The sequence below is a fragment of the Homo sapiens genome, chromosome 7 (genome assembly GCF_000001405.40).
Source record: "Homo sapiens chromosome 7, GRCh38.p14 Primary Assembly".
NCBI classification, from domain to species: Eukaryota; Metazoa; Chordata; class Mammalia; order Primates; family Hominidae; genus Homo; species Homo sapiens.
This window is the reverse complement of record NC_000007.14, coordinates 135,583,695-135,598,857: the sequence shown is the minus strand read 5'-3', so window position 1 is coordinate 135,598,857 and position 15,163 is coordinate 135,583,695. Positions and strand designations below refer to the sequence as shown.

The 15,163-nt window shown below is 38.0% G+C and overlaps 1 protein-coding gene across 2 annotated transcripts in view; it reads right to left on the bottom strand.

The window, feature by feature from the left end:
• NUP205 (nucleoporin 205) overlaps positions 1-15,163 on the bottom strand; it is a 90,837-nt gene that overhangs the window by 49,896 nt on the left and 25,778 nt on the right. For both annotated transcript variants that reach the window (NM_001329434.2, NM_015135.3), the window contains exons 8-15: positions 13,851-14,026; positions 11,167-11,283; positions 10,866-11,003; positions 7,258-7,408; positions 5,666-5,871; positions 4,129-4,311; positions 1,440-1,490; positions 651-860 (exon numbers count right to left, since the gene is read on the bottom strand). In NM_001329434.2, coding sequence (NP_001316363.2) covers positions 651-860; positions 1,440-1,490; positions 4,129-4,311; positions 5,666-5,871; positions 7,258-7,408; positions 10,866-11,003; positions 11,167-11,283; positions 13,851-13,994 — 1,200 coding nt within the window. In that variant the 5' untranslated portion in view covers positions 13,995-14,026. The remainder of the gene's footprint in view (positions 1-650; positions 861-1,439; positions 1,491-4,128; positions 4,312-5,665; positions 5,872-7,257; positions 7,409-10,865; positions 11,004-11,166; positions 11,284-13,850; positions 14,027-15,163) is intronic.

The following is a 15,163-nucleotide window of genomic DNA, read 5'->3' as shown; positions in this document are numbered from 1 at the left end:
CCTAGGTTCAAATCCTGGTCCTGGACCTTAGGCAAGTTCCTTAACCTTGCTAAGCCTCCATCTGTAAAATGGGAATATTAAATAGTACCTGCCACGTGGTAATATTGGAATTATATAAAATGATATATATAAGCTCAGTGGTTAGTGTCTTGCAACCAGAGCAAATGTGTCATAAAGATCAGTGCTCTCTCAGCCTCCATCCATGGCAGACATGCCTAATGGATTACAATACTCCTTCCCGCTAAACCAGTACTCCACAACCCAGTGCCACTAATCAATAGAAACTGCTGTGCAAGTTTAAACTTATTTCAATCCCTAACCTAAACCATTCCAATAAGCAGTAGTAGTGTGTTTCCAACAAATGTGACACTTTTTGTTCCATTTTAGTCAAAACTTGTTAAACTAAGGATATGAAATATGAACTCCTATCAATTAGATTACTGATGACTAATGTCAGTGCTTGGGTTTTAATGACCAAACTTATTTTTTAGTGCACATAAACTAATCAGACCACTTCATAGATATTTCAAAACAAAGACTGTGAATTTTACTACCTTTCAAAAGCTAACATGAATTTAGCACCATATACTTTTGATAAAAGAAAAAGCAGTAAATGCATAAGGAGAAAAAAGCTTTTCTCTGAACATAACCTTTTCAGCTGCTCTCCGGTAAGCTCTTGTACGGAATCGTAGAAACACAGAGTCTCTAAGGAACTGCAAATAAGGGTCAAAGCCAGGGGGCCGCAGTCCAGCACCCAAATTAGAAGGAAATGAGCTCTCCACCAGAGTACTAATAAGCTGGCAAAAGGCCCGAGTCAATGGGTATTCTTCACACCGGGATTCTATTTCATTTAGTTCAACCTTCCAAAGAAAAAGAAAGAAAACTTGGTAATAAAAACTATTAGCTATGAAGTGAAGAGTATTATGCAGACATTAACATATTAATAGTGCTAACTCACACCAAAAGATATAACAGATATTTCTGTTTTTCATTTAGAGGAAAAGATAAAAAAGTATTATATGAATCCAGATGAGTCAGATGGAAGAACTCCAAATTCCCACTTACTGTCCCCAAACTTGAATTTAAAACAGAAATCTTTAATGTTTCTTTTAAAAGAGAGGGAGAATTAGAGAGAAAAGAAAATAATTAACTCTCATTTCAGGTTGACTCAAGTAATCTAATTAAATTGAGTTAAAATCAAGAATTTTCCATTTGGATGGTTGCCATGTAACATCTTTTTCCAACTCTGAAACACAAAATATTTTGGTTCCTTTTATTAAAAGTTTCATCTCTATTTCAACACTGATCAGAAAACCCTTCAAATAAAAATACATTAAATTTGATAATTATGGAAACGTAAAAGGGTAAGAATGATTCATAGACTTCTTATCATTACATGCATGAATGAATTAACATTTAAACTAAAAGGAAAACTTTACCTCAATACCAATAGCTTGCCTTTGGCTTGGAATCCTCACGGTCTGCAGTATCTTAAAATAGTAAGAAGTAGATGTCAGGAGCATTCCTCATTCATCAATGAATATTAGTGGCTTTGCAATATAATAGTCACATACCTCACCCACTGGACCCACAGATCTCACAATGTCCACCAAAATGACAATCAATTAGTCCCTGGATGGACTTTCATTAGCAGTTCTGCCAGGTTGAGATAGAACTTTTGACTGTCTGGGGTTCTGAAAATTGGTAGTTTCTAAGAGCACACAAGACATTTTTTCAGCAAATTTCCTCTCAGATATTCTAGGAAATGAATCTTTAAAAAGGATTTATGGGATGAAATCTCACCAGTGTTCAAGATACTGGACTGTTTACAACTAGCCCTACTGGTGGCACAAAAAACCCAAAAGGAAACTTCTTTTTTTCAATTTTTTTTTTTTTTTTTTGAGACAGAGTCTCACTCTGTCGGCCAAGCTGGAGTACAGTGGCATGATCTTGGCTCACTGCAACCTCCGTCTCCTGGGCTCAAGCAATTCTCCTGCCTCAGCCTCCAGAGTAGCTGGGATTACAGACGTGCGCCACCATGCCCAGCTAATTTTTTTTTTTTGTATTTTTAGTAGAGACAAGGTTTCACCATGTTGGCCAGGCTGGTCTCAAACTTCTGACCTCAGGTGATCTGCCTGCCTTGGCCTCCCAAAGTGCTGGGATTACAGGTGTGAGTCACTGCACCCAGCCAGTAAACTTAAGAACAGGCTTATTAAAGGAGGCTCAAGTTTTGACTTAAGATGTTCTGTCCAGACCTCGATATGGGCCTAAGTAGTCTATGGTATAATAAATAATCCTACTGTCATGATACTTTACTTTCTTGCAAATCAAAAGTATACTAATTAGGTAGAATCCTTTAAAAACAATACTGTTGCTCTAAGGATACAAATGGCTAAACCCAATCACATTTGATTTCAGGTGTAAAGAAGCACTAAGCCCGTAAGACACTAGCAAGTATTGGTACGCTCAGGAATCAAAAGGTGAAGTATCCATAGTAAGCCAACCCCTCTCAGCAAACCCCAACTCTGTTAATTATTATGTTAACAAAGTATCAATAACATCTTCAGGATATGTATGTCAGAAAATAATCTAGAGTATTTTACTGCTTCAAAATGGTTGCTTCTGGCTGGGCGTGGTGGCTCACGCCTGTAATCCCAGTACTTTGGGAGGCCAAGGCAGGCGGATCACCTGAGGGGAGAAGTTCAAGACCAGCCTGACCAACATGGAGAAACCCCGTCTCTACTAAAAATACAAAATTAGCTGGGCGTGGTGGCACATGCCTGTAATCCCAGCTACTTGGGAGGCTGAGGCAGGAGAATCGCTTGAACCCAGGAGGTGGAGGTTGCAGTGAGCCGAGATCACCCCATTGCACTCCAGCCTGGGCAACAAGAGCAAAACTTCATCTTAAAAAAAAAAAAATTTTTTTTGCTTCTATGAATAATGAGTTAGAATCCCAGACTCCCTTAAGTTGTATTACTTCCAAGACAGATATACATATCCCACCTAACCATTTTCCTAGAGATACGTCTATAAAGCGCATCCATATTTTCCTTCATTTTATCACATATAAAATAATTATACCTGATAGAAAATTTTTAATGGAGCTTATCTCTAGAGAAAAGAATGCTAATATTTTGAAGTTATTGAGACTTCAAACATTATATCATCCATTTATTTCCCCACATCAGCAAAGGTACATTCCCTCAGGGTACAGAAGTCAAAAAATCCAACTGTCACATTCCCATTCTGCCCAAAGTTAAGTTTATGGTCCTGGCAATAAACCCTCATAACCACCAATAAAAAGTATTCTAGATGCTGTTAAAATTTCTCTGCAGGCTGGGTGTGGTGGCTCACACCTGTCATCCCAGCACTTTGGGAGGCCGAGGCGGGCAGATCACTTGAAGCCAGGAGTTCAAGACCAGCCTGGACAACATGGCAAAACCCCATCTCTATTAAAAATACAAAAATTAGCTGGGCGTGGTAATGCAAGCCTGTAATCCCAGCTACTCAGGAGGCTGAGGCACAAGAATCGCTTTAACCCGGGAGGTGGAGGCTACAGTGAGCTGAGATCACACAACTGTACTCACTCCATCCTTGCCAACACAGCGAGACCCTATCTTAAAAAAAAAAAACAAAAATCAGTGCAAACTTGACAAACAGTTAGACCTGCCCTTTAATGGAAAAACAACCCCAGTGACCATGTAGCTATACAGAGATACTTCACTCTTCTGGTATAGGGCAGGAAAGAGCAGATAAGAAAAACAAACATTCCCCACATTTAATGAGTGCAGGTGATTTGTGAGGGCTTACAGCAGCCTGGTTTAAAGACAGAGTGGACAAATTCTGTCCATCTAGTAATATCTTAATAGACATCGAAAAATAAGGTCTTCAGAGAGGTACAGTACATGAAGAACCAATCTCTGGTAACCTAGTGATGTTATCAACCAATCTAAAAGAAAAACCCAAGCCTATTAGTTTCTATTGCTATGCTCAGTCCCTAAACCGTAACTCTAGTTGGGATGTTCATGATATACTATAAGTTCCAATTGCATGTTCTTGCTTCTATGGTATTATCAAGCCCAACTTTCCACATTGGGATAATATAAATAAGGGACTTCAGAGCCCTACCTGAGTGTATTCCAATGACTGCCAGAGGGAAGCAGCAATTTCAGGAGATTTTCCAAAAGCTGCGAGTGTCTTCAGTAGCTCAGCTTTTAGGACAGGGGGAATACTGCATTGGAGGAGTCCCAGAATCACCACAACAGGGGTCCACTGAGGGTGTTCACAGAGTGCCAAGCGAGCATTTTCACTCTAAGAATTGACACAAAAAGAATGAGACTTTCCATTTTTAAAAGTTATTAAAATGACCAGCAATCATCTAAATTGCTATCATTTATACTGAGTCCTCATGGGCTTAATATATACTAAAACAAAAATAAGCCTATCATTTATGTTTGAAGTCTACCAACACATCAAATCAGATCACTCATTTATTCGAAGTAAAAAACTGGAGGAGATATAGACTTTGTAGAATTACTTTTGCAGTTCCAAGTATGAGAAATAATACAAACAGAGATAAATGGTCCGCAAGGGTTGGATAAATCTTACCTAGGCATCTTAAATCCTTTCTGGAACAATATATTATACTGCAATATAAAGTATGGATGAAAAAAATACCTTGTCCTTTTCTCAAAAAAAAATATAGAGATATACAGTATCAAGTATCACAACATTTTTTTCATTTTTAGTTGATATGTAATAACTATACATATTTATAGGGTACAGAGTCATATTTTGATATATGTATACAATATGTAATGATCAAATCAGGGTAATTAGGATATCCATCCTCTAACATTTCTCATTTCTTTGTGTTGGGAACATTCAAAATCCTCTCTTCTGGCTTTTGAACATACACAATGAATTACTGCTAGTTATATTCACCCTGTAGTGCTATAGAACACTAGAACTTTCTTCTTCTCTATCTGTAACTTTGTATGTTAACCAACCTTTCCCTATCCTCCCCTCCCATTTCCATTTTAATTCAGTGAGAAATAGTTAATAACTGACATTTTGATGCCTAATAATGTTAAGTACTATTAGAAAAGCCAAAAACTTAGAAGTTCCTATTCCTACCCTTCAGAGAAAATGTCAGACTATTCTAGTGAACAACAGACATAACTAAAAGATATTTCTGAGTTGGGAAATTATATACAGTCATGAAAATGTTTTTTACAAAGACCAATTTGGTAGTGGCAGATAAAATGGTTTGGTATAAGGAGAGAAAAAATAATACAGTAAATGACTTTTAATTACAATATTCTTTATGCATACACACATATAAATGCACATATATATCTCTACACTTATGCTGGAAACCTAGAAGCATATGCATCCAACAACTGGTTCTTATTTGCCCTTCTGACTATTTTCTTTCAGGCTCAGGCTATTATTTTTATACTAAGATTATGCCAATGAGCAGGGCTACCATAACTTACACCCTGTAGAGGTCAAAAAACAAAAAACTTAAGGGCAGAATGCTATATATCTGTCTATCTAGATAGGCTAAGTTTATTACTCTTAAATTAAAAGAAAATGTTTGGGGCTCTTAAAATGCTACTGTGCTATAATAAAAATAAAATTATGCTGGGGATGAGTTACCTACCCAAGTAATGATGGTAGACGTGAGCTGCAAAAAAGCAATCAATCCATCTTGCTCCTTCTGGGTGATGCCACGGGAAGGAAGGTGACGGTACTGGACACTATCTGCACTTGGAAGATCCTTCCGAAGGTGTTCGTGGTAAAGCATCAAGGAGTGAAAGAAATGTTCCCAGGAAACAGGACTGCCACCTGCTCCCTGAATATTTTCAACTATAAAGAAAAACAGCACAGAATTTTATTTAAAAAACATCTAAGCATTTGCTGGGAAATGGAGAGAAAATTAATTTAAAACAATATACTTTTTTCTTTTTTGAGATAGAGTCTCACTGTCACCCAGGCTGGAGTGCAGAGGGGCAATCTCAGCTCACTGCAACCTCTACTCCCCAGGTTCAAGCAATTCTCCTGTCTCAACCTCCCAAGTAGCTGAGATTACAGGCGTGCACCACAACGCCTTGCTAATTTTTGTCTTTTTGGTAAAGACAGGGTTTCACCATGTTGGCCAGGCTGCTCTTGAACTCCTGACCTCAAGTGATCCGCCTGCCTCGGCCTCCCAAAGTGCTGGGATTACAGGCATGAGCCACTGCACCCAGCCTAAAACAACAAACTTTGTTTGCCTTTGTCTTAGCACAAAGGCAATCTCTGTCCTGCATAAGCGGTGTGCTGAAAATGGGTTAGAATCCCTCTGTGAGCTAGAACTCTGGATTAATTTTTCCTCTGGATTAACTTTTACTCAAGAAAGGGGCTACTGCCCATGTAAATGTAAAGGTAATTTACTTTGGATGTCGGTTACCTACTTCACATCCAGGAGAGTTCTCTGTGCTCTCATGTAACTGTACAGGGCTGCTTTTTCCCACAGAATAATTCACAAATGTTGAGTTTGAATTCCCAAAGAAAGAGATAACTACAGTCTTAATTTGGGAATTACACTACTCCATTGCATACCAAGCATCGGAAGCAAAAGCATAGCACACAAGACTGGCAGGCTTGACAGAGTAGTCAGAACACTGGCTTTGGAGCCAAGCCGATTTCAGCTCCCATCATGGCTCTCCAAATAGCTGTGATGTTGGGTAAATTCCTTAACTTCTCTAAACCTCAGTTTCTTCACATGTAAAAATAAAAATATCTACCTAACAAAGCAGATGCTTAATTTCTTTTCCCTTTTACAGTGTTTTTGGTCTAACCAAACCAGTCTGAAAATTAAATAAGAAAACTGGGAGACAGTCAAGAGAAAAATTCTAAGTACTGAAATTAAGAAAAAAAAATACGAAGATAAATTAATCAAACTTATAAGGCAAGGGCATATGCTTTTTTTGTGGACCAGATGTGTTCTGGAAAATTTTCATACATTAATTCTGATTTGTCAAAATGAACTGTATTTTATAAAGGAGAATGACAAAACTCCCCAATCTGTGAGACCATAATCACAGCATCACTATGCATAAAGCTGTATGCATGCTTCCTTCACCCTATTGTTATGAAAATAATTTATACCTCTGGTAGAACCTAGTTCAAACACCAATGTTCTTAATAGGTAGTGGGATACTGAACTTAAAAGAGTATAACAACAAACTTTAACAACATCCACATATTCCTTACCATGACTACTACCATTGACTTTGAGCAGGCTGAAACAGTAGTGGGCACACTGAGGCCCATTGGCCAATCCCTGGAGCATCTTCAAATAAGGAATATAAATAGTTGGAGGCAACAGGTCACCCATTTGCCTAACAAACTTTGACAAGACAACCTGAAAAAGAGAGAAACAAATGGTTTATATAATGTATATCTTAACTTTAAGGCAACACGGACTAGCTAATAAAGACTACATATAAACTAAAAGTAGTGCTCTGACTTAACCCTCGCAACAGACAAATTTAACTGATATTCTATTTATGAAAAATTGTTTAAGCTTGTCATTAGCAATTTAATGCAATTATAAAATACCTTTATGAAATAAAAGTACATTTTTAAAAAAATATCTCAATGTCACAAAATATAAGACCACTCAGATTTTAAAAATATAAGACATGTGACATTTACTCATCCAAAAATCAACCAGCAATTCAAAAGTACACTTAAAATCCAGAGTTCCTATATCCCAGCCAAATTAGTATCTAGACCTAGGAAATTTAAATCATTTTTGATGGTAACTTAAGCATATTCTGTTCTGTGGTCAAACCAATGCCACGTTCCCATACTCCTGTTCTTTAAGTCTATTTCTTAATTTTCCCTTTTTCTTCCTTATGCCTTAAACCTATTATCAACAACTAACAGTATTACTCAAACTCACTAGTTGGAACTGAGAACTGAAAACACTACAGATGTCTGGAAATAACTATTAAATCAGCTAGGTTTAAAAATGGTTTGGCTGGGCGCAGTGGTTCACACCTGTAATCCCAGCACTTTGGGAGGCCAAGGCGGGCAGATCACGAGGTCAAGAGATCAAGACTATCCTGGCCAACATGGTGAAACCCCGTCTCTACTAAAAATACAAAAATTAGCTGGGTGTGGTGGCACACACCTGTAGTCCCAACTACTCGAAAGGCTGAGGCAGGAGAATCAATTGAACCCAGGAGGCAGAGGTTGCAGTGAGCCAAGATTGCGCCACTGCACTCTAGCCTGGCAACAGAGACTCCGTCTCCAAAAAAAAAAAAAGGTTTTATGATGATGTAGCAAAATAACATTTTTAAGAGAGATATACTTACTTAAATATTAAGGGATAGAATTCATGTATTTGCCTATAATTTACTTTAAAATAAAACGAAAGTAAAAATAATATAGCAGGCTGGGCACAGTGGCTCACGCCTGTAATCGCAGCACTTTGGGAGGCCAAGGTGGGTGGATCACCTGAGGTCAGGAGTTCGAGACCAGCCTGACCAACATGGTGAAAACCCGTCTCAACTAAAACAATACAAAAGTTAGCTGGGCATGATGGCGGGTGCCTGTAATCCCAGCTCCTTGGGAGGCTGAGGCGGTAGAATCACTTAAACCCAGGAGGCGGAGGTTGCAGTGAGCCGAGATCAGGCCATTGCACTCCAACTTGGGTGACAAAGTGGGACTCTGTCTCAAAATAAATAAATAAATAAATAAATAAAATAATAATATAGTAGATGAAGCAAACATCATAAGATGTTAACTTAAGATGTGAAATTAAAATGTGGGGCATTCCTTATAATAATTCCCTCTTCCACATGTTTCAAATTTTTCATTACTGCTAGCTTTCTTAAAAACTTTAAAAATTTTTAAGGAAATCTTTCTCCAAAACATTCTTTTTCTTTTGAGACAGGGTCTTACTCTGTCACCCAGGCTGGAATGTAGTAGCACAATCACAGCTCACTGCAGCCCAAATGATCCTCCCACCTCAGCCTCCCGTGCAAATGGGGCCATAGGTACGCACCACCATGTCTGGCTAATTTTTAAAATATTTTTTGTAGAGACAGGGTTCACCATGTTGCTCAGACTAGTCTAAAACTCCTGAGCACAAGTAATCTGCCTACCTTGGCCTCCCAAAGTGCAAGTATTACAGGTGTGAAGCACCGTGCCTGGCTCAAAACGTATTTTTTAAATGAGAAAAACACTGAAACAATACAGTTTAAAAAGTGGCATCTGGGCCAGGTACAGTGGCTCATGCCTACAATCCCAGCACTTTGGGAGGCTGAGGCGAGTGGATCACCTGAGGTCGGGAGTTCGAGACCAGCCTGACCAACATGGAGAAACCCCATCTCTACTAAAAATACAAAATTAGCCTGGCGTGGTGGCGCATGTCTATAACCCCAGTTATTCGGGAGGCTGAGACAGGAGAATCGCTTGAATCTGGGAGGCAGAGGAGGTTGGGGTGAGCTGAGATTGCGCCATTGCACTCCAGCCTGGGCAACAAGAGCGAAACTCCATCTCAAAAAAAAAGGCATCTGATCTGGAGTCCAGAAAAAAAAAAACACACACACACACATTGCATAAAAGCTTCTAGAACAGAAATCCCCCAAAATGAACATGGCAATCTCCTGCCAACTCTTTTTTTTTTTTTAAAGAGTCAGGGTCTCACTCTGTTGCCTAGGCTGGAGTGCAGTGGCGTAACCACATCTCACTGTAACCTCAAACCCCGGGGCTCAACGTGTCCTCTTGCCTCAGCCTGAGCAGCTAGGACTACAGGCTCATGATAGCACACCGAGCTAGTATTTTTTGTAGCGATGGGGTCTCATTACATTGCCCAGGCTGGTCTCAAATTTTGGCTTCAAGCGATCTTCCCACCTCAGCTTCCCAAAGCACTGGGATTACAGGTGTGAACTACTGCATAGCAATTCATTTTATTTGCCTCTGCACATCATACTTTAGTTAATACAGAAAGAATTTTTGCCTGTATTATCTACAGACTCATAGGCATTTTGCCATCAATTAAAACGTCTAAGAATTCTCCTTTAATACTTGTACCTCTCCTATCCTCCCAAACTTGAAAAGATTGTCATGCCTATGGAGAACTAAAATACTAATAAAATTCAAGTGGGGCACAGTGCTCATGCCTGTAATCCCACTGCTTTGGGAAGGCTGAATGAAGCCAGGAATTACAGACCAGCCTGGTCATCATAGCAAGGCCCTGTCTTTTAAAAATAAGTAAATAATAAAGAGACTGGATGCCTTTCTGCCTCTAATAATTCAACACATATCTAGTATCCAATAAAGGATTGACTACATTAACTTCAAAATCAACAGAACTTAAATTTTAAGAGTTTCAAATTTTCTTTTATAAAAGAGAAAAGTAGGCTAGGCACAGTAGCTCATGCCTGTAAATCCAGCACGTTGGGAGGGCCGAGGCAGATGGACACTTGAGCTCAGGAGTTACAGACCAGCCTGGGTATCATGGCAAAACCCCATCTCTACAAAAAATACAAAAACTAGCCGGGTGTGGTGGTGTATGCCTGTAGTCCCGACTACCCTGGGGGCTGAGGCGGGAGGATCACTTCCACCTGGGAGGTCAAAGCTACAGTGAGCTGAGATCGCGTCACTGCACTCCAGCCTAGGTGACAGAGTGAGACTTTGTCTCAACATAAATAAATAAATAAATAAAATTTAAAAAGTGTAAGTCTCTAAAGGTTACACTAGTGATCATTTGTGTTAACAGCAATAAAATCAGGAAGTAATATCTTTCATGTTTTCAAGACTCTCTATCACAGTACCAGAGTATAAAAGAGGAAAACCTAAAGACTCACCTGGCGTTGAGGGGGCCGCTGATGAGCCACCCCTAGATAAGAGCCCATGATAGTCGGAGTCTGAAGAGGCTCTGTGGGACACCAATATTCTAGAGCAAGCTCCAGATGAAAAGGGTTCTTTTTATATAGCTCGCCAATCTGCAAAGAGTAAGCAAAGACTGTAGGGAAATGTCTATGACTGAAAAATTACTTTCAATAAAAAAAAGGACATTTAAAGTATTACACCTGAAATTTTCCAAAGTTAGGGGAAAAAATAATGAAAGGAGGGAAAGAGGACAAGCTTTCTAATATAATGGCTTACCAAAAGCATTAAGTGTTCCAGGTCCCTTCTAAGTGAAATGGGGGGTTCATTACCCATCTGCATACTCATGTGAATCATTCGAGCATCTTCATCTGCCCGATTCCTCAGCTGTTTCACCTATTAAATTTATTAGATATAGTTTTAATATGTAAATGTATTGTACATGCTAATAATAATGAAATCAGGCAACTGTCTTAAAGTGACTACATACAAGAATATATTTTTTAAATATCTATTCCACTTTAGGTGACATGAAGAAACATGCCAGGAATCTTATTTGCAATATTACTACCCATAATGTATAATATCTTAAAACTTGAATGCATTTTCCACTATAGAAAAGTTGAACTTAACTGTAGTATTTCTCAGTGGGGACATTACTGACATTTGGGCACAATGTTTCTTCACTGGGTTGGATTATCCTGAATATTCCAGGACATTTAGCATCCTTGGAACTACCTACCAACTATCAATAACAACACCAGAGTCATCATAACAAGCAAAACTGGCCCCACTCATTTCCCAAACACACTCTGAAGAACATTATACCTCAGTTGAGAATCACTGCTTCACAACATTTGTGTGAACTAAATGCCAACAAAAATAAGAAACAAATTCTGTTAAAAAAAAAAAAAACATAGCTAGACAAATCCACAATTACAGTTGGAAATATCAACACTCCTCTCTCAATATTCAATGGAACAAGTACACAGAAAATCAGTAAGGATATGGAAAACTTGAAAAACAGCATCAACCAACTTGACTTAATTGACACTTGTAGAACATTCCACAGAACAGCAGCAAAATATGTGTTCCTTTCAGGTGTACATAAAATATTTACCAAGATAGGCCATATTCTGAGCCATAAAACAAACCTCAACAAATTTAATACAACTGAAATTCTACAAGGCGTGTTCTCTGAGCACAACGGAATTAAACTAGAAACCTGTGACAGAGATCTGAAAGTCTGTGAACTACCTGGAAATTAAACAACACACTGCTAAATAACCCATCAATCAAAGAAGTCTCAAGGAAAATTAGAAAACATATTAAACTGAACAAAAAAGAAAATGCAACATATCAAAATTTGTGTGGCATAGCTAAAGCAGTGATTGGAGGTAAATGTATAGCATTATTAAATGCTCATATTAGAAAAAAGAAATATTTAAAATCAATAATCTAAGCTTATATCTTAAAAAACAAAATTAAGGGAGCAAATTAAACCCAAGGCAGAGGGAAGAAAATAATAAACATAATAGCAAAAATCAACAATGGTGAAGCAAAATATAAGAAAATCAATGAAGCTAAAAGCTAATTCACTGGAAAGATCAATAAGATCAATAAACTTCAAGCAAGGTTAACTAAGAACTGGGGGAGAAGACACAAATTACCAATTTTAGGAATTAAAGAGAAAAATCACTATAGATCCTATAAAAATAAAAATAATACAAGAATCCTAAGGGCAAATTTATGATAATCAATTTATACTTTTCAGGAGGTATGGTACCAAAACTGCACAATATATTACAAGTGTAGACCTTTCAGGGTGCTTTTAAAAACTGTACATTTGAAATAGGTGGTTTTATAATATAAACACAAAAAAAGACGTTTTTCTCCCTCATTTACTTCCCGCCAACATTTGATGGCTTCTTTGGCACAAAACAGCACACAGAGCATATACTATAAGGAACTGTTTGAAATAGCTCTAAGAATCGCTTTTCAGATGACAGTTACAGCTCAAGCTATCTATTCAAAAGCAGCCTTTGTGTTACGGTTTCTTAAATTCATTATTTTACCTGTATCCATGCTGAAGCCCTTTTATACACTGCAATTCAGAATCTAAACAATCGGGCCAGGCATGGTGGTTCACACCTGCAATCCCAGCATTTTGGGAGGCCGAGGTGGGCAGATCACCTGTTCAAGACCAGCCTGGCCAATATGGTGAAACCCCATTCTAATAAAAATACAAAAAACTACCCAGGTGTGGTGGCGGGCGCCTGTAATCCCAGCTACTTGGGAGACTGTGGCAGGAGAATCACTTACCCAGGAGGCGGAGATTGCAGTGAGCCAAGATCACACCACTGCACTCCAGCCTGGGCGCAATAGAGCAAGACTCCATCTCAAAAAAAAAAAAAATCTAAACAATTATCTATAAAATGCAATTTTTCCACTGTGCCTCTTCCAAATCATGTATAAAAATATTAAATAAAGCAACCTTAGCACTAATCCTTAGGGCAGCATGAGGTTAGTAATTTTCTACCCACAGAAGCATTTTCATTTAATTACTTTCTCATTTATAAACCATTCACTATGTCAAATATTTCTTTCTACTGACTTATCCCCAGTTAAGAGGACTTATTTCCATAGAACAACAGCAAAATATGTCTTCCCTTCAGGTGTACATAGAACATTTACCAAGACAGGCCATATTCTGAGCCATAAAACAAACCTCAACAAATTTAATACAACTGAAATTCTACAAGGTATGTTCTCATATCTTGTAGAGACTCATGACTTATTTCATGAGTCACAAACTGATTCACAAGATGTAATACAGCTACTGGCAAATTTTAGTCTGTATTAAAAATTTTTATTAGTTTCCAAAACATAAAGCTGGTTAATCAGTTTTAAATTATTTTATAAAATTCTTCTACTATTTACTCATCCTACATTATTACACTTACCTTCATTGGCATAAGTGCAAGGAAATCTGTGATGAGATTATGGACTCTGCGAATATAAAATTCTTCCTGATAAAAGTATTCTGATACCACTACAGATTCCATGAGGAACAGGAAAACGTTGTCAGCAATTGCGAGTTCTGCCATTGCTTCATCTGCCTCTGTGAATTCTGCCAGAGCTAGAAACAGATTTTAAAACACAGTACATGGAGGAAAAGTCATTAACCCAGATTGTAATTATATCTCATAATACTCTGCTGATGGTTCAGACATCTTCCCAGCCTTCTAGCATGTGCTATGCACAAAATGAGACTATATATAACTGTAATTGACTCATAAACCCTAAAGAACTCACAAACCCCAAATAACAATATACTCTGAATGTGTATTAGAAAAATACATACTCTTTGAAATAATAACATAACTAATGAAAATTATTTTAGAGATGTGTGATGCAACACTGATGTAGTCAGGGAGCTATCATCCAAACATTCACATATTAAAATGATGTTAAGACTTTAATCCCAATGAAATCTCATGGGTCATCTGAAAAGTCTTCAATCCAAGACCAAAACCTGAACATGAATAGGTAAGTAACTGTGCTAATTTGGTAACCAAGTAGCTAAAATTTAAAAACTAAATTTTAACTTGAATATAAACTTGTCTAACTGTAATTTTTTTATATTTTATTTGGAAAATATCCAATATATATCTAAAAATAAGTATAATAAACCTCTACATACCCATCACCTGTTTCAATACTACCAACTTATGGACAATCTTACCTCATCTATATCTTCCCCCTCTCCACTCATACATATCTCATTAAAGCAAATTCCAATTTAACATTTTACCAGTAAGTATTTGCAGTGTACAACTCAAAAATATACTTAAGAAACAAGGCCGGGCAGGGTGGCTCATGCCTGTAATCCCAGCACTTTGGGAGGATCACCTGAGGTCGGGAGTATGGAGAAACCTCATCTCTACTAAAAATACAAAAAATTAGCCGGGTGTGGTAGCGCATGCCTGTAATCCCAGCTACTGGGGAGGCTGAGGCAGGAGAATCGCTTGAACCCAGAAGGCGGAGGTTGCGGTAAGCCACGATCACGCCATTGCACGCCAGCCTGGAAAACGAGCAAAACTCCGTCTCAAAAAAAAAAAAAAAAGAAAGAAAGAAAGAAAGCAAAAGTAAAAATTCACTACATACTCACACACAACACCATTATCGTATCTTTATTTTATTTTATTTTTTGAGACAGGGTCTCGCTCTGTCACCCAGACTGGAGTGCAGTGGTACAATCTCAGCTCACTGCAAC